The sequence below is a fragment of the Homo sapiens genome, chromosome 7 (genome assembly GCF_000001405.40).
Source record: "Homo sapiens chromosome 7, GRCh38.p14 Primary Assembly".
Taxonomy (NCBI): Eukaryota; Metazoa; Chordata; class Mammalia; order Primates; family Hominidae; genus Homo; species Homo sapiens.
Genome location: NC_000007.14, coordinates 95,124,313 through 95,150,028, shown reverse-complemented (window position 1 = coordinate 95,150,028; position 25,716 = coordinate 95,124,313). Strand labels below are relative to the sequence as shown.

The window sequence follows — 25,716 nt, the reverse complement described above, 5'->3', positions numbered from 1 at the left end:
GTTCTGTTCCACTGATCTCTTTGTCTATTCTTTTGCCAGTACCACACAGTCTTGATTACTGAAGCTTTATAGTAAGTCTTGAAGTCAACTAATGTCACTCCTCCAACTTTGTTATTTCCCTTAAATATTAAGTTGGCCATTTTGTGTCTTTTGTCTTTCCATATAAACTTTAGAATCAATTTGTTGATATACACAAATTAACTTGCTGAAATTTGGATTGAAATTTCATTGAATCTTTAGATTAAGTAGGGAAGAACTGACATCTTCTTATCCATGAATGTAGAATATCTTACCATTTATTAATTATTTCAAAACTTTGATCACAGTTTTGTAGTTTTCCTCATACAGACTTCAGATTTTATTAGGTTTATACCTAAGTATTTCATTTTTAGGGGTGTTAACAGAAATGAATTTTAATATGTTTTTAATTTCCAATTCTACTTGCTCATTGCTGTTATATAGGAAAATGAATGACTTTTGTATAATAAGCTTGTATTCTGAAACCTTGCTATAATTGCTTATCAATTTTCAGAGGTTTTTTACTCTATTTTTGAACAGTTATACATAGACAAGGATGTCATTGTGATCAAAGACTTTTACTTCTTCCTTCCAAATCTGTGTATTGTTCATTTATTTTTCTTATCCTACTGCATTAGCTAGAAAATAACTGTAAGAAAGGATATCATTGTCTAGTTCCTAATCTTAGCAGGAAAGTTTTTTAGTTTCTCACTATTAAATATAATGTTAGCTCTAGGTGTTTTGTAGGTATTTTTTTTCAAGTTGAGAAAATTCTGCTCTACTCCTAGTATACTTAGAGTTTTTCTCATAAATGGATGATTTTTGTCAAATGCTTTTTTCTGCATCTACTGATATAATCATGTTATTTTTCTTCTTTAGCCTGCAGATGTGATGGACTATATTCATTGACTTTTGAATGTTGAACCAGCCTTCTATACCTGGGATAAATCCCACCTGGTCTCTGTATATAATTCCTTTTATATGTTGTTGGACTCGATTTGTTAATATTTTACTGATATATATTTGTATATATCAATATACATATTGATATATATTTGTTTTTGCATTTATGTTCATGAGAGATATTAATCTATAGTTTACTTTTCTTGTAACATTTTTGTCTGATTTTGGTGTTAGAGTTCTGGTGGCCTCATAGAATGGAACACGAAGTATTTATTATCTTTGCTTTTATATTCTGGAAGAGATAGGAGAGGATTGGTACACTTTCTTCCTTAAGTGTTGGGCAGAATTCACCAGTAAATCCACCTGGCCCTGTGTTGTTCTCTCTTTTTGAAGGTTGTTAATTTTTTTTTTTTTTTTTTGTATTTTTAGAGAATTGGGGTTTTACCATATTGGCCAGGCTGGCAATAAACTCCTGGCTTCAAGTGATCTGCCCATCTTGGCCTCCCAAAGTGCTGAGTTTACAGGCATGAGCTGCTGTGCCCAGCTGGTTGTTAAATATTGATTCAATTTCTCTACTAGATATAGGCCTATTCAGATTGCCGATTCTTGTAAAGTTTTGACAGATTTACACCTTGGAAAAAATTGGTCTATTTCATCTTGGTTGTCAAACTTGTGGGCACAGAGGGGCTCATAATATTCTTTTATTGTCCTTTTAGTGCCCATGCCATCCACAGTGAATTTTTCTCTCTCATTTTTAATATTACTAATTTGTGTCATCTCTCTTTTTTTCTTAGCCTGGTTAGAGGCTTATCAAAAATATCGATCTTTGCTAAGAACCAGCTTTTGGTGTTACTGACTTTCTCTACTGATTTCCTGTTTTCAATTTCACTGAATTCTGCCCTAATTTTTATTATTTCTTTTGTTCTCCTTACTTTGGATTTAATTTCCTCTCCTTTTTATAGTTTCCTAATGAAGATGCTTAGATAGCTGATTTTAGATCTTTCTTCTTTTCTAATATATATGCATTCAATAATATGAATTTCCCTCAAAGCGCTGCTTTTACAGCATCCCAAAATTTTTAACATGATCTATTTTCATTTTCAATGAGGTCAAAATATTTTCTAAAAAATGACTCTTCACAACAAAAAAAGAAAATTTCAGGCCAATATCCCTGATGAACATCAATGCAAAAATCCTCAATAAAATACTGGCAAACCAAATCCAGCAGCACATCAAAAAAGTTATCCATCATGATCAAGTTGGCTTCATCCCTGGGATGCAAGGCTGGTTCAACATATGCAAATCAATAAACATAATCCATCACATAAGTAGAACGAATGACAAAAACCACATGATTATCTCAATAGATGTGGAAAAGGCCTTCGATAAAATTCAACACCTCTTCATGATAAAAACACTCAATAAACTAGGTACTGATGGCACATCTCTCAAAATAATAAGAACTATTTATGACAAACCCATAGCCAATATCATATCGAATGGGCAAAAGCTGCAAGCATTCCCTTTAAAAACCGACACAAGACAAGGAAGCCCTCTCTCCCCACTCCTATTCAACACAGTATTGGAAGTTCTAGCCAGGGCAATCAGGCAAGAGAAAGAAATAAAGACTATTCAAATAGGAAGAGAGGAAGTCAAATTGTCTCTGTTTGCAGATGACATGATTGTATATTTAGAAAACCCCATCATCTCAGTCCAAAAACTCCTTAAGCTGGTAAGCAACTTCAGCAAAGTCTCAGGATACAAAATCAATGTGCAAAAATCACAAGCATTCCTATACACCAATAATAGACAAACAGAGAGCCAAATCATGATTGAACTCCCATTCACAATTGCTACAAGGAGAATAAAATATCTAGGAATACAACTTACAAGCGATGTGGAGGACCTCTTCAAGGAGAAAAACAAATGACTGCTCAAGGAAATAAGAGAGGACACAAACAAATGGAAAAACATTCCGTGTTCATGGATAGGAAGAATCAATATCATGAAAATGGCCATACTGTCCAAAGTAATTTACAGATTCAATGTATTCCCATCAAGCTACCATTGACTTTCTTCATAGAATTTGAAAATCTACTTTAAATTTCATATGAAACCACAAAAGAGCCCATATAGCCAAGATAATCCTAAGCAAAAACAACAAAGCTGAAGGCATCATGTTACCTGACTTCAAATTATACTACAAGGCTGCAGTAACCAAAACAGCAAGATACTGGTACCAAAACAGATATATAAGCCAATGGAACACAACAGAGGCCTCAGAAACAACACCACACATCTACAACCATCTGATCTTTGACAAACCTCACAAAAACAACCAATGGGGAAAGGATTTCCTATTTAATAAATGGTGTTGAGAAAACTAGCTAGCTATATGCAGAAAACTGAAACTGGACCTCTTCCTTACACCTTATACAAAAATTAACTCAAGATGGATTAAAGATTTAAATGTAAGACCTAAAACCATAAAAACACTAGAAGAAAACCTAGGCAATATGATTCAGGACATAGGCATGAGCAAAGACTTCATGACTAAAACACCAAAAACAATGGCAACAAAAGCCAAAATTCACAAATGGGATCTAATTAAACTAAAGAGCTTCTGCACAGCAAAAGAAACTATCATCAGGGTGAACAGGCAACCTACAGAATGGGAGAAAATTTTTGCAATCTATCCATCTGACAAAGGGCTAATATCCAGAATCTACAAAGAACTTAAATTTACAAGAAAAAAACAAACAACCCCATCAAAAAGTGGGCAAAGGATATGAACGGGCACTTTTCAAAAGAAGGCATTTATGTGGCCAAAAAACTTATGAAAACAAGCTCATCATCACCGGTCATTAGAGAAATGCAAATCAAAACCACAAAGAGATACCATCTCACGCCAGTAAGAATGGCAATCATTAAAAAGTCGGGAAACAACAGATGCTGGAGCAGATGTGGAGAAATAGGAATGCTTTTACACTGCCGGTGGGAATGTAAATTTGTCCAACCATTGTGAAAGACAGTGTGGAGATTCCTCAAGGATCTAGAACTAGAAATGCCATTTGACCTAGCAATCCCATTACTTGGTATATACCCAAAGGATATAAATCATTCTACTGTAAAGACATATGCACACTTATGTTTACTGCAGCACTATTCACAACAGCAAAGACTTGGAACCAACCCAAATGCCCATCAATGATAGACTGGATAAAGAAAATGTGGAATATATACACCATGGATTACTATGCAGCCATACAAAAGGATGAGTTAATGTCCTTTGCAGGGACATGGATGAAGCTGTAAACCATCATTCTCAGCAAACTAACACAGGAACAGAAAACCAAACACCACATGTTCTCTCTCGTAAGTGGGGGTTGAACAATGAGAACATAGGGGCACAGGGAGGGGAACATCACACACCAGGGCCTGACAGCAGTGAGATTACAGGTGTGAGCCGCCATGCCCAGCAATTTCTGTCTTTTAGTAGATGCATGTAAACCACTGACATTCAAAGTGATTAACTGATGTACTTAAACCACTGACATTCAAAAGTAACAAATATTGACTAATATCTACAATATTTGCTACTTTTTTTCTATTTTTTGCCTTTGTACTTTCTTCCAACGTTTGTCTTCAATTCTTTTTCTGCCTTTTGTGGTTTTAACTTTTAATGAATCTTGAAGACTGAATTTTGGGGCTGGTTTCCCATGCTCATTCTCATGCTTATTTGCATCCCTTAAACTTTAATATAGTTTGGTCTTCACCACTAACAATATATTCACTGCAGACAGCATCAGTGATGAAAAGGTGAGAAGGTACTCTTTTCTGTTTTATCTTAGCTCTTCTACTTGTAAATATTAGGTGATCTCCTCTAAAGAAGTGGCATTGTATTATTTCCCTGAATACTTGAAATGTTTATTACATATTTAGATCTGGGATAGCTAGTACGGACATTTCTACAATATTCTACCAATCCATGAACACGAGGTATCTTTCCATTTATTTGTGTCTTCTTCAATTTCTTTCACCAATGTATTACAGTTTTCAGTGTGCATATCTTTCACTTCCTCAGTTAAATATATTACAAAGTATTTTATTCTTTTTGATGTTATTGGAAATGGGATTGTTTTCTTAATTTTTCAGGTAGTTCACTGTTAGTGTGTAAAATACAGCTGATTTTTGTACGTTGTCCACTCAGTAAAGTTGATCCTGCAAGTTTGCTGAATTTATTTATTAGTTCTAACAAATTTTGGTGCATGCTTTAGCATTTTCTTTAATCAGGTCATGTCATCTACAACAGGAATAGTTTACCTTCTTCCCTTCCCGTCTGGATGCCTTTTACTTCTTTTTCTTGTCTAATTATTAGGCTAGGACTCCAGTACTATGTTGATAAGTGGCAAGAGTATCTGTGTCTTATCCCTGATCTTAAAGGTAATGTTTTCAATTTTTCACCGTTAGTATGATGTTAGCTGTGGGCTTGTCATATGTGGACTTTATTGTGCCGCGGTACATTCCATAATAGAAAACAACATAGAGGTTCCTCAAAAATTAAACTAGAACTACCACATGATCCAGCAATCTACTTCTGGGAATATATCCAAAGGAAATAAAATCACTATGTGGAATCAGTATTTTCCATGTTCATTGCAGCATTATACACAATAGCCAAAATATGGAAAAAAAAACCCAGTGTCTGTTGATGGATAAATGGATAAAGAAAATGTGATTTTACACACGCACACATGATAAAGTATTATTCAGCCTTAAAAAAGGAAATCTTATTATTTGCAATAACATGGATGAATCTGGAAGACATTATGCTAAGTGAAATAAGTCAGACACAGACAAATTCTGCATGATCTCATATATATGTGGCATCTCAAAAAGTCAAACACACAAAAACAGAGTAGAAGGCTGGTTATCAGGGACTGGGGGGAGTGGGGCAAATGGGGAGAGGTTTGTCAAAGAGTAGAAACTTTCTGTTATAAGATGAATAAATTCTGGAGACCAAATGTATAGCATAGTGAGTATAGTTAACAATAACATATTGTGTACTTATAATTCACTAGTAGAGTAGACCTTAAATGTTCTCATCACACACGAAATTAACTATGTGAGCTGATGAATATGTTAATTAGCTTGATGAATATGTTAATGATACACTCATTTCACAATGTATATGCACATCAAAATATCACAATTTTTACTTGTTAATTATACTTCAATAAGCCTGAAAAAAAAACAAATTAAAAATTAAAAGACGATTTGGGACAGGAAGTAGAACTAGGAAATGTCAAATAAAATATTAGCTAATTCATGTGACCAGACCTGCGTCTATTATACTTGCTAGATAATAATGCCCAGGAAGTACCAGCCCAGGTAATAATGTATTAGCTCTTAGCCTCCTACTAAGCCAAGATTCCTTTCTCACATGGGCCTCTGCCAGGGGTTTCATAAGGAGGAAAACTGAATGTTAGGATTTAGGCACTACTGACTCGGTAGGGTAAATACCAATAAAATCACCTCTAATATCCTTGCAACCAAAATAACAAATTGGCTTAGAAACACTCGAAAGCAGAGTTCCTCTAACCATCTATATCAGAATTACCTGGGGGTACGTGTTTAAAATACAGTGGGCCCCACTCTGAGAGCAGATCTCACCAATCAGTATAATAAGTCTGAGATCTATGGTCTTATGATATCTAAGAGGTTTTAAGTAGAAAAAAAGAAAAAAATTGTAATATTTGTCTTCTAGCAAGGCAGAATGGCCTGGCAGCTATGGAATGCCAATAAAGACTAAACCAGACCAAAAACAAGAGATGATACCTGAAAATCACAAATGACACCAGAAAGCTAAGCAACTAATAACTAATAGGAAGATACGACAGTTCATTAGAAATTGATTATAAAAAGCCAGAGGGTCCAGAGCTGTACATTGGAATAATATGGGCAGCTATATAAAATACAAGTAACTTGGTCTAACCCTAATGTGCTAAATCAAATTCAACAAAGAGGGCCAGGACTCCAATCTTCAGAGAATTCCTTGGGATATTCAAGGATATTTCACAGCTGAGAAGACTTACAGGAGACTCCTCTGTTCCCAAATTCATTTCACACAGTCCAGTTAGTATGAAATAATAACATAATATTAAGTCATTGGATAAAAGAGAAGGAATGATTATAATGGAAATATAAATAATATATATAACACATAATATACACAAAATGCATACTGAAGACATAATAATTCAGCTTTGTCTCTTTACATGTATCACCCAACAAACTTCACTGGTTTAGGTCCATACAGTTTCACAATGGTACTTCCTCTAACTCATCTCATTATCATTGGCTCTATGTGTTCCTCAAATTCATTCTGCATATCACTCATTAAAAAAATTAATCTTGTCCATATAATAAACACTTATATTTATGATCAACAGATTTTCAACAAGGATGCCAAGATCATTCAATGGAAAAAGACTAGTCTTTTCAAAAAATGATGCTAGAAAACTAAATATCCATATGGAAAAGAATGAAGCTATGAATATATCCCTTCCTCACACCTTATACAAAATTAACTAAAATGGATCATAGACCTAAATATAAGAAAGACTAAAAACTACAAAACTCTTAGAGGAAGATGAACGAGTAAATCTTTATGATCTCAGAATATGTAAAGTCTTCTAGGATATGAGATCAAAGTATAAGTGACAAAAAAAACTAGATGAATTGAACTTCATCAAAATTAAAATATTTTATGTTTCTAAGGAAACTATCAAGAAAGTGAAAAGGCAACTCATAAGTTAAAAGAAAATGTTTACATATTATGTATCTGATAAGAAACTTCTGTCCAGAATATCATAAAAAACTCTAACTCAATAATAAAACAACCGAATTTTAAAATGGGGAAAGAATCTGAATATTCATTTATCCAAAGTAGATATAAAAATGGCCAATAAGCACATGAAAAAAATGTTCAACATCATTAGCCACCAGGGAAATGCAAACCAAAACTAAAATGAAATACTTCATACCCACTCAATAATCAAAGAGATAAAAACAAGCGCTCATGAGGATGTAAAGAAATTGGAACCCTCATACATTGCTCGTGAATAGGTAATATGACTCAGCTGCTTATGAAACCACTCTAGTAGTTGCTCAAAAGGCTAAACATAGTTATTATATGACCCAGAAACTCTACCACTAGATATATTCCCAAGAGAAATGAAAATATGTCCACACAAAAACTATCACATGAATGTTCATTGCAGCATTATTCTTAAGAGCCCAAAAGTGAAAACAACCCAAATATCCATCAACTAATATCAAAATGAATAAACTAAATGTGGTATTATCAAGTCAATGGAATATTATTTTGCAATAAAAATGAATTAAGTACTGATAAATGCTACAACATGAATGAACCTTGAAAACGTTTCTCTAGTTAAAAAAAAAAAAGCCAGTCACAAAAGACCACATACTGTATTCCATTTACATGAAATGGCCAGGAGAGCCAAATGTATAGAGACAGAAAGTAGATTTGTGCCTATGGCAGAGAAGGGAGAGGAGAGCTGGGGGGAAAGGAAAGTGACTGTTAATGGATTTGGGGTTTCTTTTTGAGTGGTAAAAATATTGGGTGGTAAAAATTCTAAAATGAATTGTGATGGTTATATAACTCTTGAATATTCACAAAACCACTGAATTGTACACTTTAAATGAGTAAACTATATGGTATGTGAATTACATATCAATAAAGGTGTAAAAAAATAAATCTTAGAGAACAATTTTATCTGAAACACCATCAGCTTCATCATTCCAATAAAATATATTTCTAATCACTTGGCCTAGTTTTCAAGTTTCTTCAGCACTGGGTCTTCACCTAATTCTGGTATTTTCATCCTAGATTATCATTTTTGACATTTAAATTTTTTTATTATCTGTCCCTTATCTGACTTCACCTCACCCTTATTTCACCATGCATAAGACTGAAATACTTTACCCATAGAAAATAGGAATGTTAGTTAAGTTCAAGAATATTTTATTGTTTATTGTGGTGGTTTCATTAAAACTAATTAAGGCTGGGAGTAGTGGCTCAAGCCTGTAATCCTAGCACTTTGGGAGGGCAGGGCAGGCGGATTGCTTAAGCCCAGGAGTTCGAGACCAGACTGGGCAACATGGCGAAGCCCCACTTCTTTAAAAAAAATAAATAAATAAATTAGCCAGGTGTGGCAGTGTGCACCAGTGGTCCCAGTTACTCTGGAGGCTGAGGTGGGAGGATTGCTTGAGCTTTGGAGGCAGAGGATTTCAGTGAGCCAAGACTGTGCCACTGCACTCCAGCCTGGGTGATAGAGTGAAACTCTGTCTCAAAAAAATAAAAATAAAAACTAAAACTACTCTCATCTCCTGGCCAGTTGTGGTGGGTCATGCCGGTAATCCCAGCACTTTAGGAGCCTCAGATAGGTAGACCACTTGGGACCAGGAATTCAAGACCAGCCTGGCCAACATGGCAAAACCCCGTCTATACTAAAAATACAAAAAAATTAGCTGGGCACAATGGCATGCCTGTAGTCCCAGCTACTTGGGAAGCTGAGGCAAAAGAATCACTTGAACCCAGGAGGCAAAGGCTGCAGTGAGCTAAGATTATGCCACTACAGTCCAGCCTGGGCAACAGAACAGGACTCTGTCAAAAAAATAAAGTGAAATAAGCAATTATAATTGATTGAAAATTAATTAATGGATTAAATATTATAGTGGATTAAAAATTCTAGAATACTGTATATATGCCTTCTCCCACTTGATCCATGTGGTTAGAGGGACAGAGGTTCTGTTCTCTCATACAGTAGGTCCATAATCACTTTTTCCCTTTGTTAGTCATTCTTCCCAGAAATTTAGAAAAGCATGGCCTTCTCTAGTTCTCTCTAGCTTACGCTCCACTCCCCTACAGTGGAAAAATGAATGGAGCTACAACCACCTACTTCTACTTTCATTTCTTCTTTTCTTTCTAGCAAGTAGCAAGAGCTGGGTTCACTTTGAGCTACTCAGCCATTCTCTTATTTTCTTCCAGTATAGCCTCTTTCTACTTTTCCTCTAGCTCTAAGTAGTAATGCCTTTGGTAGCAATGTGGTAGTAGTATTAGAGATTTGCTTTAAAGGAAAACAAAAAACAAAAAGTCTTCTAGCTAATTCCAGACTCATCTAGCTTAAATACTCTGCCAGATTAAGCTTACTCATGATGAGGTTGGGAGTCAAAGCTTCAGGGTTTTTTTTTTCTTTTTTTTTTTTTTTTAATGTTTTGCTTTATGTAATGTACATGAAACAATGAACTACAGCTCCCACATGAGGGAATATAAAGAAAGCTGAAATTCAGTCTTCATTCTAGCTGCCAGGCCATACATCAATAAGACTGCATCTTTCCAGAAAAGGCATGTTTTTCCAAATTTGCAAAAAAGTACTCTACGAATTAGCAGCGTCCCTACCTTACTGGATAAGATAGTCTAGGGCACTGGTTCCCAAACTGCCTCACTGCAACAGAATAACATGAAGCAATTTTGAAAATCACAGATTCCTGAAGTTGCACCTTCTGCAAAAGTCTCATTCAGAAGACATGAGGCAAAAGCACAAAATAGAAATTTGAGTTGTGATATGGTTTGGCTTTGTGTCCCCACCCTAATCTCATCTTAAATTGTAATCTCATAATCCTCACATGTTGTGGGAGGGACCCGATAGGAGGTAATTGAATCATGGGGCTGGTTTTCCTCCATACTGTTCTCGTGATAGTGAGGAAGTTCTCATGAGATCAGGTGGTTTTATAAGTATAGGGCTTCCCCCTTCGCTCTGCACTCATTCTCTCTCCTGCTGCCCTGTGAGGAGGTGCCTTCTGCCATGACTATAAGTTTCCTGAGGCCTCCCCAGCCATGCTGAACTGTGAGTCAATTAAACCGCTTTCATTTATCAATTACCCAGCCTTGGGTATTTCTTCATAGCAGTGTGAGAATGGACTAATATAAGTTGTTTCCTGATTTTGTCTATTATGAATAAAGTTGTCATTCACATGCAAGACTTTATGTAGACATATGTTTTCATTTCTATTGGAAAATATCTTGGAGTGGAATTGCTGGATCAAAAAGTTAAGTGTACATTTAACTTTAAAAAAAACTTCCAAACTGTTTTCCTAAGTGGCAGTGAAATTCTGCATTCCCACTAGCCATAAGGGAGCGTTTCACTTCTCTGTATCCATGTCAGCACTTTATATTGTTAGCATTCTTATCTTTAGCCATTCTACTAGGTGTGCAGTAATATCTCATTAAAGTTTAATTTGCATTGCTATTACATTGAATATATTTTCACATACTATTGGCCAGTCATAAGTTTTCCACTTTGAAGTGGCTGTTGAATCTTCTGTCCATATTTTAAACATTCAGTGGTTATTCTTCTTGTCATTATTAGTGTTCTTCATATTCTGGATACAAGTTCTTATATATATTTGAAAATATTTTCTCCTTGTCTATGTCTTTGCTTTTCAGTTCTTAACTGTGTTTCTCAAAGAACGAAAATTTGGATATAATGAAGTTCAATTTCTCAGTTTTTTCTTTCATGGTTCGTACTTTGTGTCCTGTCTCAGAAATCTTTGTTTAATATGATTTTATAAAGATTTTCACCTCTGTATTCTTTTAGAGCTTTTATAATATTAGACCTATGTCCAGATCTACAATTAATTTTGAATTAACTTTGTATATGGTGTGAAACAGGGTTTGTGGTCCAATTTTTTATTTCTCCATATGGGTATCTAATTGTTCTAGCACTTTGCTGAAAAGGCTATACTTTTTCCAATGGAATTATCATGGTACTTTTATTGAAAGTCAGCTGGCCGGGCGCGGTGGCTCATGCCTGTAATCCCAGCACTTTGGGAGACCAAGGCGGGCGGATCACGAGGTCAGGAGATCGAGACCATCCTGGCTAATACGGTGAAACCCCATCTCTACTAAAAATACAAAAAATTAGCCGGGTGTGATGGCGGGCACCTTTAGTCCCAGCTACTTGGGAAGCTGAGGCAGGAGAATGGTGTGAACCTGGGAGGCGGGGTTCGCAGTGAGCCGAGATCGCGCCACTGCACTCCAGCCTGGGTGACAAAGCAAGACTCCGTCTCAAAAAAAAAAAAAAAAGAAAAAAAGAAAGTCAACTGACTATATGTTTTCATCTATTCCTGACTTTTTTTCTATTACATTGATCTATATTTCTATACCAATGGCATACTGTCCTGATTATTGAAGCTTTATAGCAAGTCTTGAAAAACCAAATAAGGTCAGTCCTCTAACTTTGTTCTTTTTCAGAACTGTTATCTTGGTCCTTTGCATTTCCATATGCATTTTAGAACAATCTTGTCAATTTCTCCAAAAACAACAAGAACAACAAAAAACCTGCTAGAGTTTGATTGGGATTTCTTTGACTCTACAGATCAATATGGGGAAATTTCACATCTGAAAGACAGTGAGCCTTCTGTTCTACAAACATCATGTATGTTTCCATTTATTTACCTGCCAAATATCCTACTGCCATCAACCCTTAATTTCATTTCAACAGGACTTGATTTTTTTCCAGCAACATCCTCACATTAACTAAAAGCTTTAAGGCAAGCCACACTCTGAAAAGACTTGCATCTTTTTTTTTTTTTTTTTTTTTTTGAGTTCATGTCCTTTGTAGGGACATGGATGAAGCTGGAAACCATCATTCTCAGCAAACTATCGCAAGGACAAAAAACCAAACACCCCATGTTCTTACTCATAGGTGGGAACTGAACAATGAGAACACTTGGACACAGGAAGGGGAATATCACATACCAGAGTCTCTTGTGGGGTTGGGGGAGGGGGGAGGGATAGCATTAGGAGATATACCTAATGTAAATGATGAGTTAATGGGTGCAGCACACCAACATGGCACACGTATACATATGTAACAAACCTGCATGCTGTGCACATGTACCCTAGAACTTAAAGTATTATAAAAAGATACATTAAAAAAAAAGACTTGCATCTTTTATGAAACTTTGCCCATAAGTCCTTTCTCTACCCTTTCAAAAGCCTTTTCTTGAAGGTCCAGCTCAAATAACTTCTCTTTGAAGTCACCTGCCTATCCAAGCTTATGATCTTTTCCAACCTTTGAACCTCTTCTATATCACTGAATACCTCAAACTTACATTACATATTACCAGATATTGTGTGGTATTTCTTGATGTATAAGGTCTCTTTAAGCAGACAGAGTGCAAACTTCTTGGGTCTTATAGCTAAACCCAGAGCAATAAATATGTTTTCCTAATCTTATTAAGACATTTTAGGAAAAGAAAGAATTCCTTTTATTTGTGGTTTTATTTTCTGGATGGAACAAAAGTTAGGATGTCAAATATTAGGAAAGTATTTCTGATACACACTTGTTAATGAGACTTAAAAGAAGCAAATATCCTGCTGAGTTCTCCATCATTATGTATATGCCATTCTCTTTCCCACAATCACATATTCTCCTAGCCAATCATCATTTAAAATGTTATTTTCTCAGACTATCTAGAAAACATCTTTCCTGACTAAATGTTACATGACCTTAATACCATTTTTAACTTTATATCTTTGTGCATGTTTATATACGACTTGCATCATTTTATTTATTTATGATTTTAATTTTGAAATAAGGTCTTGATATGTTGCCAAGGCTGGTCTCAAACTCCTGGGATCAAGTAATCCTCCCACCTTGGCCTCCCTGGTAGCTGAGACTATAGGTGCATGTCACTGTGCCCAACCACATAATTTAATATTTAGTTGTATTGCTTTATAAAAGTTATTATGTTGTGTAAAGATGTGTTAGGAGCAGAGACTTTGTGTTATAAGTTGATTCTAGACTACCTTAAAGCATGAAATTATGCCTTTTATTTCTTTTTAACTTATGCATAAAATAAAATAGAATGCTATGGAATTAACAAGTACTCAATATATTCTTTGATAGCAATAATCATCAATGTTTCTGAGTGACAAATGACTACAAATGGCAATCCTGCCAAGCAACTTTCATGGCACTACAAGTTGGTGGACTTAGGGACGTATACGGAAGATAAAGGCAAGAAGAAATTCTTTATCTTTCAAATATTTAATTTATAATATACTTTGTATTTTGAAAGCCAAATTAAAGTTGAGCCATGGCATTTGAAGGATGAACAGAGGTGGCTTTCCAGCAAAAAAAAAAAAAAAAAAAAAAAAAGTAAAGCTGAAAGCTTAATCTCTCAAACAGAAAGATAATCACTGTCACATACTTTCATGAAGTGAAAGGATTAATAATGCAACTTTAATAAGGCAAGAGCACTTGAGAAGGCAAATATTTTTTTAAAGGGCAAAAAATTAAGAGTGAGTAAGAGGAATACTAAATAATAGATTATAAAAAAACTTTGAAAACAAGTTTTAAAAATCAAATATGTACAGAGCTAGTATTTACTGGGAAGAAAAAAATAAAAGCAAAATACAGGTTTGTACAATATCAATAGATAGAATGATCAGAAGTGAACGAAAACTAAGGTGATAATTGCCTTAATGGGCAAAAATAAAGAAAGAACAAACTAGATCAAAAAATGTCTGAAAATAAGCATCCTGTCAATTCTGATAAAATGCAATGAAATAAGTACAACTGAAGGGACTAAGTAATCTAATCAGAAGAAAGATAGCAAAAATGCTGGAAAAATATAAATAGGGAAAATAATATGCTTGCTTCATTGGTTTGGTTGAATAATCCAGTTAGTAATTTAGCAAAAGTAATTTGATCCTGACTATAGCAAAAGGACAGAGAGTTACTGGGATACAAATTTAAATAAGACATGATCTCTGTTTAAGGATACCATACACATACACAAATACGCACATGTACACATACATGTAAATATGTGTATATGCATATACAGGATATGTGTTGCAGGCATTAGAGACACAGGAGTGTGATAAGCTATAAAAAACACTATAAGTGTGCTAAGAAAGGTATGAATAAAATAGGTTGATGTTAAGAGGAGGGGCTGCTGACTCTTTAAAGTGAAGATAAAACAAAATGAGAGCAACAAGAAGACTGAGAATAGATGGATTCAGAAGTCACAGTGTTTTTCCAAATAACGAAAGTCATCAGCCCTAACGTATAATACTGTTTTTTAAAAAAAGTAAATGGCAATATGACCCTCACAAAGACTAGAGATTATTGAAAATTGCCTTTAGGAAAAGTAATAGAACAAACATTAAAAACTAAAGTTATAAGGAAATTTGCCAAGAAAAAAAATTGGTTCCTGAAACTGGAATCATTCCACTCACAAATGTGTTTGAATACTTATCAAGAGTCTAACATAGGCCGGGCGTGGTGGCTCATGCCTGTAATCCCAACACTTTGGGGGGCCAAGGTGGGTACATCACCTGAGGTCGGGAGTTTGAGACCAGCTTGACCAACATGAAGAAACCCCATCTCTATTAAAAATACAAAACTAGCTGGGCGTAGTGGTACATGCCGTAATCCCAGCTACTCAGGAGGCTGAGACAGGAGAATCACTTGAACCTGGGAGGCAGAGGTTGTGGTGAGCCGAGATCACGCCATTGCACTCTAGACTGGGCAACAAGAGTGAATACATGTGCAGAATGTGCAGGTTTGTTATACAGGTATACATGTGTCATGGTGGTTTGCTGCACCCATCAACCTTCATCTAGGTTTTAAGCCCAGCATGCATTAGGTATTTATCCTAATGTTCTCCCTCCCCTTGACCCCCACCCACCAACAGGCCCCAGTGTGTGATGTTCGCCTCCCTGTGTCCATGTATTCTCATTGTTCAACTCCCACTTAAAAGTGAGAACATGTGGTGTTTGGTTTTCTGTTCCTGTATTAGTTTGCTGAGAACAATGGCTTCCAGCTTCATCCATGTCCCTGCAAAGGACATGAACTCATTCTTTTTTTATGGCTGCATAGTATTCCAAGGTGCCTATGTGCCACATTTTCTTTATCCAGTCTATCGTTGATGGGCATTTGGGTTGGTTCCAAGTCTTTGCTATTGTAAATAGTGCTGCAATAAACATATATGTTTTTAAAGCATTTAAAATTTAATGCACCTAGGGCCGAGTGTTGTGGCTCATGCCTTAACCCCAGAACTTTGGGAGGCTGAGGCAGGAGGATGGCTGCCTGGTTCAAGACCAGCCTGGGAAACATGGTGAAAACCTGTCTCTACTAAAAATATAAAAATCAACCAGGCATGGTGGTGTGCACATGTGGTCCCAACTACTTGGGAGCAGGAGAATTGCTTGAACCCGGGAGGTGGAGGTTGCAGTGAGCCAAGATCATGCCACTGCACTCCAGCCTGGGTGACAGGGCAAGACTCTGTCTCCAAATAAATAAATAAATAATGAAATCAAATAAAATGTAATGCACCTGGACATGGTCTTCTGGTCCTAAGAATTCATTTCAAAGAATGATGAACAATAATTTTTATGTAAAAATGCTTACCTCACCAATATCTTGAAACAACATACTCGTAAAACAATATATAAATGATGTGCATATATATATATATATATATATATATATAATACGACTGCATAATATATCCTTAAAGTCTATTATAAAAACTAATGACATTATATAAAGTAATATATTATTTAAGTATAAGCACTAGAGTCAGATATCCTAGGTATACAGGCAGGCTCTGCTACTTATTTGCTATGAATGACAGCATAAGGAGGCAGACAAATTCCTAGGCAGACAGGGACAGGTCCCTGGTGAAACCCGACCTACAAGCCAAAGACAGTTTAAAGACTGAAAACTGAGCTACCAGTCCATAGAGCCCGTGACTGGAATGAGAACTTCCTTGATGCCTTTTAACCAATTGAATGGTGCTTTTTCCAGGCAGGCCCATGGACCAATCAGCATGCACTTTCCTATTATTAGCCCATAAAAATCCTGGACTCAGCCTCACAGAGGGCTACCTGCTCTTGGGTCCCTTCTCTGCTGAGAGATCTCCTTCTGTCGCTCAATATAATTCTTCTCTGCCCTACTCAGTCTCTGGTGTCTGAGTATCTAATTCTTCTTGGTCATGGCACAAGAACCCAGAATTTGCCACTCTGCAGGCAGCAGGAGCAAACGATCTGTAACACGAAGAAGGTATAACATTTCTTGGGGATCTCAGACCTTGGGACTCTCTGGGTGAGAGCTGTAACAGCACTTGGGGCTCAACAGTTGCTGGCACCTCTGAGTTTCTGGGTGTCACCACATTACCCTTGTCTAGATGCCAGCACCCAAGACCGAAGCAGGTTGCTGCACACCCAGCCCAGCCATAGACTAAGTGTGGATCCTGTGGCGGGTGCAGCATCCAGACTGGGGTGCAAGCCAAGTGCAGCCTGCAGCGGGCGGGTGAGCAGCGTGAACCCAGTGAGCCTGAGCAAAGAGACATCGGCCGCAGAGATTTCCAGCTGGCGAAGCGGCACCGAAGGGGTCATGTAACACCGGAATCCTCCCTCCTGCTCACCAAACTGTGGGGGAAAAGAGCTGCTAGGTGTGTTTCTCACCCACCACTGAACTACAAAAGCCATGACAGTTGGTTCAACATATACAAATCAATAAATATGATTCACCACATAAACATAATTAAAAACAAAAACCATACGATCTTCTCAGACAGGGAAAAATTTTAGATAAAATCTAATATTGCTTCATGATGAAAACCTCAAGAAACTAGGCACTAAAGAAACATACCTCAAAATAACAAAACCAATCTATGATAAACCCACAGTCAACATTAGGCCAAATGGGCAGAAATCTGGCAGCATTCCCCTTAAAAACTGGAACAAGATAAGGGTGCCCACTCTCATTACTCCTATTCAACATAGTACTGGGAGTTCTAGCCAGAGCAATCAGGTAAGAGAAAGAAATAAGACATCCAAATAAGAAAAGAAGAAGTCAAACTATCTTCATGGACAATATAATTCTATACCTAGAAAGCCCTAAAGACTCCACCAAAAAGCTTCTGAAACTGATAAACAACTTCAGGAAAGTTTTAAGAGACAAAATCAATGCACAAAAATCAGTAGCATTTCTATACATCAATACCACTCATGTTGAAAGCTAAAGCAAGAACAAAATTCCATTTACAATAACACACACACAAAATGAAATACCTAGGAATACATCTAACCAAGAAAGTGAAAGATATCTATAAGAAGAACTATAAAACACTACTAAAAGAAATTATAGATGACAACAACAAATGGAAAAACATTCCATGCTCATGGATTAGAAGAATCAATATCAGCAAAATGGCCATACTGACCAAAGCAATCTGCAAATTCAACACTAGTCCTATCAAACTACCAATGTCATTTTTCATAGAACTAGAAAAAATATATAAAATTAAAAATTCAGATAGATTCCAGCACCTACCTCCTGAAAGACAAAAAAAAAAAAAAGTTAAAATTCATATAGAACCTAAAAAGAGCTGAAATAGCCAAAGCAATCGTAAGCAAAAAGAACAAAGCAGGAGGCATCACGTTGCCCAACCTCAAACTATACTCTAATGCTACAGTAACCAAAACAGCATACTACTGGTACAAACACAGACATATAAACCAATGGAACAGAATAGAGAACCCAGAAATAATGCCCCATACCATTCTGTTTTCATGCTGCTGATTAAGACATATCAAAGATTGGGTAATTTATAAAGGAAAAAGGTTTATTGGACTTACAGTTCCACATGGCTGGGAAGGCCCCACAATCATGGCGGAAGGTGAAAGGCACATCTCACATGGCAGCAGACAAGAGAACAGCTTCTGCAGGGAAACTCCCCTTTTTAAAACCATCATTATCTCGTGAGACTCATTCACTGTCACGACAACAGCACAGGAAAGACCCATTCCCATAATTCAATCACTTCCTAGCAGGTTCCTCCCACGACATGGGAATTGTGGGAGTTACAATTCAAGAGGAGATTTGGGTGAGGACACAGCCAAACCATATCATTCTGCCCCAGCCCCTGCCAAATCACATGTCCTGACATTTCAAAACCAATTACACCTTCCAAACAGTCCCCCATAGTCTTAACTTATTTCAGCATTAACTCAAAAGTCCACAGTTCAACATCTCATCCGAGACAAGGCAAGTCCCTTCTGCCTATGAGCCTGTAAAATCAAAAGCAAGTTAGATAGTTGATATAATGGGGGTACAGGCATTGGTTAAATACTGCTGTTCCAAATGGAAGAAACTGGCCAAAACAAAGAGGCTACAGTCCCCATGCAAGTCTCAAATCCAGCAGGGCAGTCAAATCTTAAAGTTCCAAAATGATCTCCTTTGACTCCATGTCTCACATCCAGGTCACATGATATAAGAGGTGGGTTCCTGTGGTTTTGGGAAGCTCCACCCCTGTGGCTCTGTAGGGTACAGCCTCCCTCCCAGCTGCTTTCATGGGCTGGTGTTAAGTGTCTGTGGCTTTTCCAGGCATAGAGTGCAAGCTGTCAGTGGATGTACCCATCTGAGGTCTAGAGGACAGTGGCCCTCTTCTCATAGCTCCACTAGGCAGTGCCCCAGTAGGAATTCTGTGTGGGGGCTCTGACCCCACATTTCCCTTCCACACTGCTCTATCAGAGATTCTCCATGAGAGCCCCACCCCTGCAGCAAACTTCTGCCTGGGCATCTGGGCATTTCCATACGTCCTCTGAAATCTAGGCAAAGGTTCTCAAACCCCAATTCTTGACTTTTGTGCACTTGCAGGCTCAACACCATATGGAAGCTGCCAAGGCTTGGGGCTTGCATCCTCTGAAGCCACAGCCCAAGCGCTAGCTACCTTGGCCCCTTTCAGCCAAGGCTGGAACAGCTGGGAAACAGGGCACTAAGTCCCTAGGGTGCAAGCAGCATGGGGACCCTAGGACCAGCCCATGAAACCACTTTTCCTTCTAGGCCTCCCAGCCTGTGATGGGAGGGGCTGCCCTGAAGACCTCTGATATGCCCTGGAGACATTTTCCCCCATTGTCTTGGGGATTAACACTCAGCTACTTATTACTTGTGCAAATTTCTGCAGCTGATTTGAATTTCACTTCAGGAAATGGGATTTTCTTTTCTATCTCATTGTCAGGCTGCAAGTTTTCCAAACTTTTATTCTGTTTCCCTTTTGAAACTGAGTGCCTTTGACAGCACCTAAGTCACTTCTTGAAGCCTTTGCTGCTTAGAAATTTCTTATGCCAGATATCCTACATCATCTCTCTCACGTTCAAAGTTCCACAGATCTCTAGGGTAGGGGCAAAATGACAACAGTCTCTTTGCTAAAACATAACAAGAATCACCTTTGCTCCAGTTCCCAACAAGTTCCTCTTCTCCATCTGAGGACACCTCAGCCTGGACCTTATTGTTCATATCACTATCAGCATTTTGGTCAAAGCCATTCAACAAGTCTCTAGGAAGTTCCAAATTTTCCCACATTTTCCTGTCTTCTTCTGAGCCCTCCAAACTGTTCCAACCTCTGCCTGTTGTCCAGTTCCAAAGTCGCTTCCACATTTTCAGGTGTCTTTTCAGCAATACCCCACTTTTTCTGTGGGGTATTAGTCTGTTTTCAAACTGCTGATAAACACCTACCTGAGACTGGGTAATTTATACAGGAAAAAGGTTTATTGGACTTATAGTTCCATGTGGGTGGGGAGGCCTCACGTTCATGGCAGAAGGTGAATGACACATCTCACATGGCGGCAGACAAGAGAAGAGCTTGTGCAGAGAATCTCTCCTTTTTAAAATCATCAGATCTCATGAGGTTCATTCACTATCACAAGAATAATGTAGGAATGCCTCCACCCCCAAAATTCAATCACCTCCCACCAGGTTCCTCCCACAACATGTGGGAACTGTGGGACTTACAATTCAAGATGAGATTTGGGTGGGGACACAGCCAAACTCTATCACCTACAGACATCTAATCTTTGACAAAATTGACAAAAATAAGCAATGGAGAAAGGACTCCCTATGCAATAAATAGTGCTAGGATAGCTAACTAGTCATGCTCAGAAGAATGCAACTGGACCCCTAGCTTTCACTGTATATAAAAATTTAACTCCAGATGGATTAAAGATTTAAACGTAAGACCTCAAACTATAAGAATCATAGACGAAAACCTAGGAAACACCATTCAGGACATTGGCCTTGGGAGAGAATTTATGACTAAGTCTTCAAAAGAAATTGCAACAAAAGGCCGGGCATGATGGCTCATGCCTGTAAGCCCAGCACTTTGGGAGGCCGAGGCGGGTGGATCACCTGAGGTCAGGAGTTTGAGACCAGTCTGACCAACATGGTAGAAACCCTGTCTCTACTAAAAATACAAAAATTAGCCAGGCGTGGTGGCACGTGCCTGTAATTCCAGCTACTCAGAAGGCTGAGGCAGGAGAATCGCTTGAACCCAGGAGGCAGAGGTTGCAGTGAGCCAAGATCGCACCATTGCACTCTAGCCTGGGCAACAAAAGCGAAACTCCATCTCAAAACAAACAAACAAACAAACAAACGAACAGAAAACAAAACAGAAAAGAAAAGAAAAATTGATGAGTGGGACCTAATTAAACTAAAGAGATTCTGCACAGCAAAATAAATTATCAACAGAGTAAACAGACAAGCTACAGAATGGGAGAAAATATTTGCAAACTATGCATCTGACAAAAGTCGAATACCCAGAATCTACAAAGAACTTAAACAACTGAACAAGTGAAAAACAAATAACCCAATTTAAAAATGGGCAAAAGACATAAACAGCACTTCTCAATAGAGGGCATACAAGCAGCCAACAAACATATTAAAAAATGCTCCATATCACTAATCACCAGGGAAATGCAAATCAAAACCTCAATGAGATATTATTTCACACCAATCAGTATGGCTATTATTAAAAAGTCAAAACAACAGATGCTGGTGAGGCTGTGGAGAAAAGGGAATGCTTACACGCTGTTGGTGGGCATACAAATTAGTTCAGTCACTGTGGCAGGCAGTTTAAAGATTTCTCAAAGAACACAGAAGTACCATTCAATCCAGCAATCCCATTACTGGGTAGATATCCAAAAGAAAACAAATCATTTTACCAGAAAGACACATGCACTTACATGTTCACTGCAAATCTATTAATGACAGCAAAGACACAGAACCAACCTAGGTGTCCACTAACAGTGGACTAGACAGAGAAAAATGTGGCACATATGCACCATAGAATACTATACACCTATAAAAAAGAATGAAATCATGTCCTTCACAGCAACAAGGATGAAACTGGAGGCCATCATCCTAAGCAAACTAATGCAGTAACAGAAAACCAAATACTGCATATTCTCACTTATAAGTGGGAGCTAAATCCTGGGTAATCATGGACATAAAGATGGCAACAAGCGAAACTGGGAACTAATAGAGGGGAGAGCAAGAGAGGGAGACAAGGGTTGAAAAATTAACTATTGGGTACTATGATCAGTACCTGGGTGATGAGATCATTCATACCCCACACCTTAGCATGACACAATATACCCAGTTAACAAAAGTGCACATATACCTCCTGAATCTAAAATAAAAGTTTAAAAAAAAAAAAGAAAGAAAAAAAGAAGACAGAAGAGATACAAGATGCAAAGTATTCCATGCAACAGAAACAGTAACGATAGACTTTCGGCTGGATTTGCTCTTTGCATTCAGAGATCAGAGATCAATGTGAAAAAGAGGAATCCTATGACTAAAATACTGATTCTACATAGTTCTTCCTGTCTACCTTAATACTGAAAACATTAAGGGGGACAAAGAAAGCTTCATGCTATTTGATTATCATTTTCATCAAAAGGGTGTCCATTTAAATTTTTTTCTCATTTCAAAGTGATACATTCATTAAAGAAAAAATTTGAAAATCTGATAATTAAAAAAATGAGGAAATAAAAACCATCTTTAACGTTTTTAAAAAGAGTGAGAGAGGGAGGGAGGAAGAGAAGTGGAGTTCTATGGAGTTTGCTATATAACGGGCTTTTCAATTTACCTTTTTATGGAGGTAAACTGTGATGATTAAGGTGGAGATAAGTTCAAGAAACTAAAAATGAGGAGAAGAGGAAAGAGAGGTAAAGAGGGTTGGGTGAGAGATGAGGGGAATAATGGATGAAAAAGGCAGTGGTTCAGGTTTATTCCCACTATAGATTGCTCCTACAACTCCCTAGAACATGAGCCAGCAGAGTATTAAATACAAAAATGGTTACTGTGACGGGAAAAATTTTCTGGTGTCTAACACCCACTTTGCTTGTATCTTTTATCTCATGAGAAGACAACTTTTAGATGCAACCTCACAGAACAGTAACACTGATAATCTCTCTTAAATCTTAGCTGTAATGAAAAGCACAGAAAAGACAAGGGAAGACTCTCAGTGGTTAAAAACAAAAGAATACCTAGACAGAGTTCTGTATCAGACCATCCCAGACTACAAAGAATAACCAGTTCTATGGATTATCTAAACTTTCCAAAGTTTTCCAGGATAGCAGAGGAAATAGCCTGTTTCCCCTGGAAATACTGTCGACTGGAATGGAATTTATGGGAACATACCTGGCTAGTTTGTAAAAACTATCTCATCCTGGCCAGTTCCTCAATAGTTTCCATGTGCTTACCATAAACAAAAGTGCACAACACTACTGCTCTTCAGTCTCACTGTGATATTGCTGAGATCCTGCAATTCTTAATCTGAAAACCAGAATCAATAGGGATAAGGGTAATGAAAATACATAAATTGGATTTTTCTAGGGTTTGTTTAATGTTACTGGATAGTTACTTATTGACACAGTGTTTCTGGGAAGGGAAAAAAAATAACCCTACCTCACGGGGCTTTTGTCAACAAAGCCACCAAAGAAGAATGACAGGGAGACCAGCTGGAGCAACATTAATGTACTTAGGTCAACAGAGATCTTCCTCAAAATGCTAGATACTGAAGTTTTAAATGTATGTGAAAATTGTGAAAATACATATCAAAGCAGTAATAGCCCAAATCTAAGGGGTGAATAGGCAAAATATTTTATTAGAAGACTAACATGAGAGTGTGTGCACAGAGAGGAAACCATCGAATAGGGGACCATGACAGATTCAATTAAAACAAGTTTCCATCCAGGGTTCTCTTAGGCTGAAGGGTACTTCAGGCAAAGATGGGTCCTAAGAGGGGGTGAATTTGCTGCAGGATAAGCAAAAGAATAGGACTCTTTAATCTATTGTATATGTTGGTATTACCCAAAAGATGTGAAAAAAAACAATTAAAATCATTTAAAAACCAAACTTGAATGAGGATAAACTACATAGAACCTTAATTTCATATGTGGTATCTCTTCCAATAAAATTGAAAAGGACAGTGATTGAAAATGATGATGAGCAAAAGCTTGTGAAACAAAAACAGGACCCAAAAACAACGTGTGTCCAAAATGGACTTTTAATTTGCCTCTAATTTAGCACAGCATTATTAACATCCTTTGTCAGTTACCATCCATGTGATTTACTCTACAATTCAGCATTTTGAATTGTTTTTATGAAACTAATTTTGCTTTATGGAATCATGAATGAGGACTGGAAAATCATTAGTGTGTGAAAGTGTCCTCTGTGCAATCCCAAAAATTACATTTATGACAACAAAAACTAATAGTCAATGTATTTAATATTATTTTACTAAAAATTTAGAAACAGGAAATAGAAATGGCTATCATATCATTCAACTAAATTAAAAGCTACTCTGTAAAAGGAAGGTAGCACAAAACCAAAACAGAGAAAAATGATAAGCCCAAGTAAAGGTTTCAAAAGTGACTAAAAGCCCCGCACTGTGGCACTCGCTTATACTCCCAGTTACTTGGGAGGCTGAGGTGGGGAGTTCACTTGAGCCCAAGAGTTTGAGGTCAGCCTGGGCAACACAGTGAGACCTCGCCTCTAAAAATAAAAAATAAAAAGTGACTAAAGCACAAGGATTCACTCATTCAACAAATATTTATTGAGCACCCTGTAAGTTTAAGGCATCATAGGATAAAGTACACACATGAAAAGCTTGACAAAAGAAAATTTTGAATGTAAGAGATAATATCAAAGAATAAGGAAGGGTCAAAACTTTTTAACTATTTAACTATACTGGATAAACTCAGGAGGATAAATACCCACGGCAAATTTTTTAAACTACTCAAAATGTGGTGAGAGTTTACAAGCCATTTAAACAGGAATACAAACGATCACAATGAAAAGGCTTCTTGTGGGGGCAGGAAGGAGGGAGGAGGGGGAGAAAAAAAACTTTCTATGTATACATGTCTGCTCATTTAACATTCCTTGAAGGAGGTATGACTAAATCTGAGTTTAAATTGAAATAAATTTTCTTAAATAGAAAGAGTTATTAAGAATCTAAAGCAAGCTAGAAAGCTAGAAAACAATAATACAGAATCTTATCCTTTCAAGGCTAAAAGGAACTACCTTAGAGAACATCTAACCCAGAACTTTAATTCTGTCAATAAAGGAGGTCTGACAAGTAATTTCCTCGGGGTGAAAATCTTATCATTTTTAGTTTTAATTCAGAAACTATACACAAGTGGTATATATTCTCTACAAAATTAGATATTCTATATCAGCCAAAATTTTAAAAAACCCATACACTAGAGCCATTCAACACTTTTGTATATATTAATTTTAGGTTTTTTAAGAAAGAGAATGACTGAGAGATAAGGACAAAAAGGAACAAAGAGAGAGAAAAGAAGAAATAGAATATATACCCTACACAAGAAGGGCATCATATTAATCA

At 37.0% G+C, this 25,716-nt stretch overlaps 1 protein-coding gene and 1 long non-coding RNA gene across 46 annotated transcripts in view; one reads left to right on the top strand and one right to left on the bottom strand.

The window, feature by feature from the left end:
* PPP1R9A (protein phosphatase 1 regulatory subunit 9A) overlaps positions 1 to 25,716 on the bottom strand; it is a 389,180-nt gene that overhangs the window by 146,387 nt on the left and 217,077 nt on the right. Inside the window, exon 2 of one of the 44 annotated variants that reach the window (XM_047420595.1) lies at positions 10,409 to 10,454. The exons of the other annotated variants lie outside the window; for them this stretch is intronic. Within the exon in view, the coding sequence (XP_047276551.1) occupies positions 10,409 to 10,454 (46 nt within the window). The remainder of the gene's footprint in view (positions 1 to 10,408; positions 10,455 to 25,716) is intronic. 44 annotated transcript variants of the gene reach the window in all.
* PPP1R9A-AS1 (PPP1R9A antisense RNA 1) overlaps positions 1 to 25,716 on the top strand; it is a 178,641-nt gene that overhangs the window by 64,304 nt on the left and 88,621 nt on the right. The window lies entirely within an intron of this gene.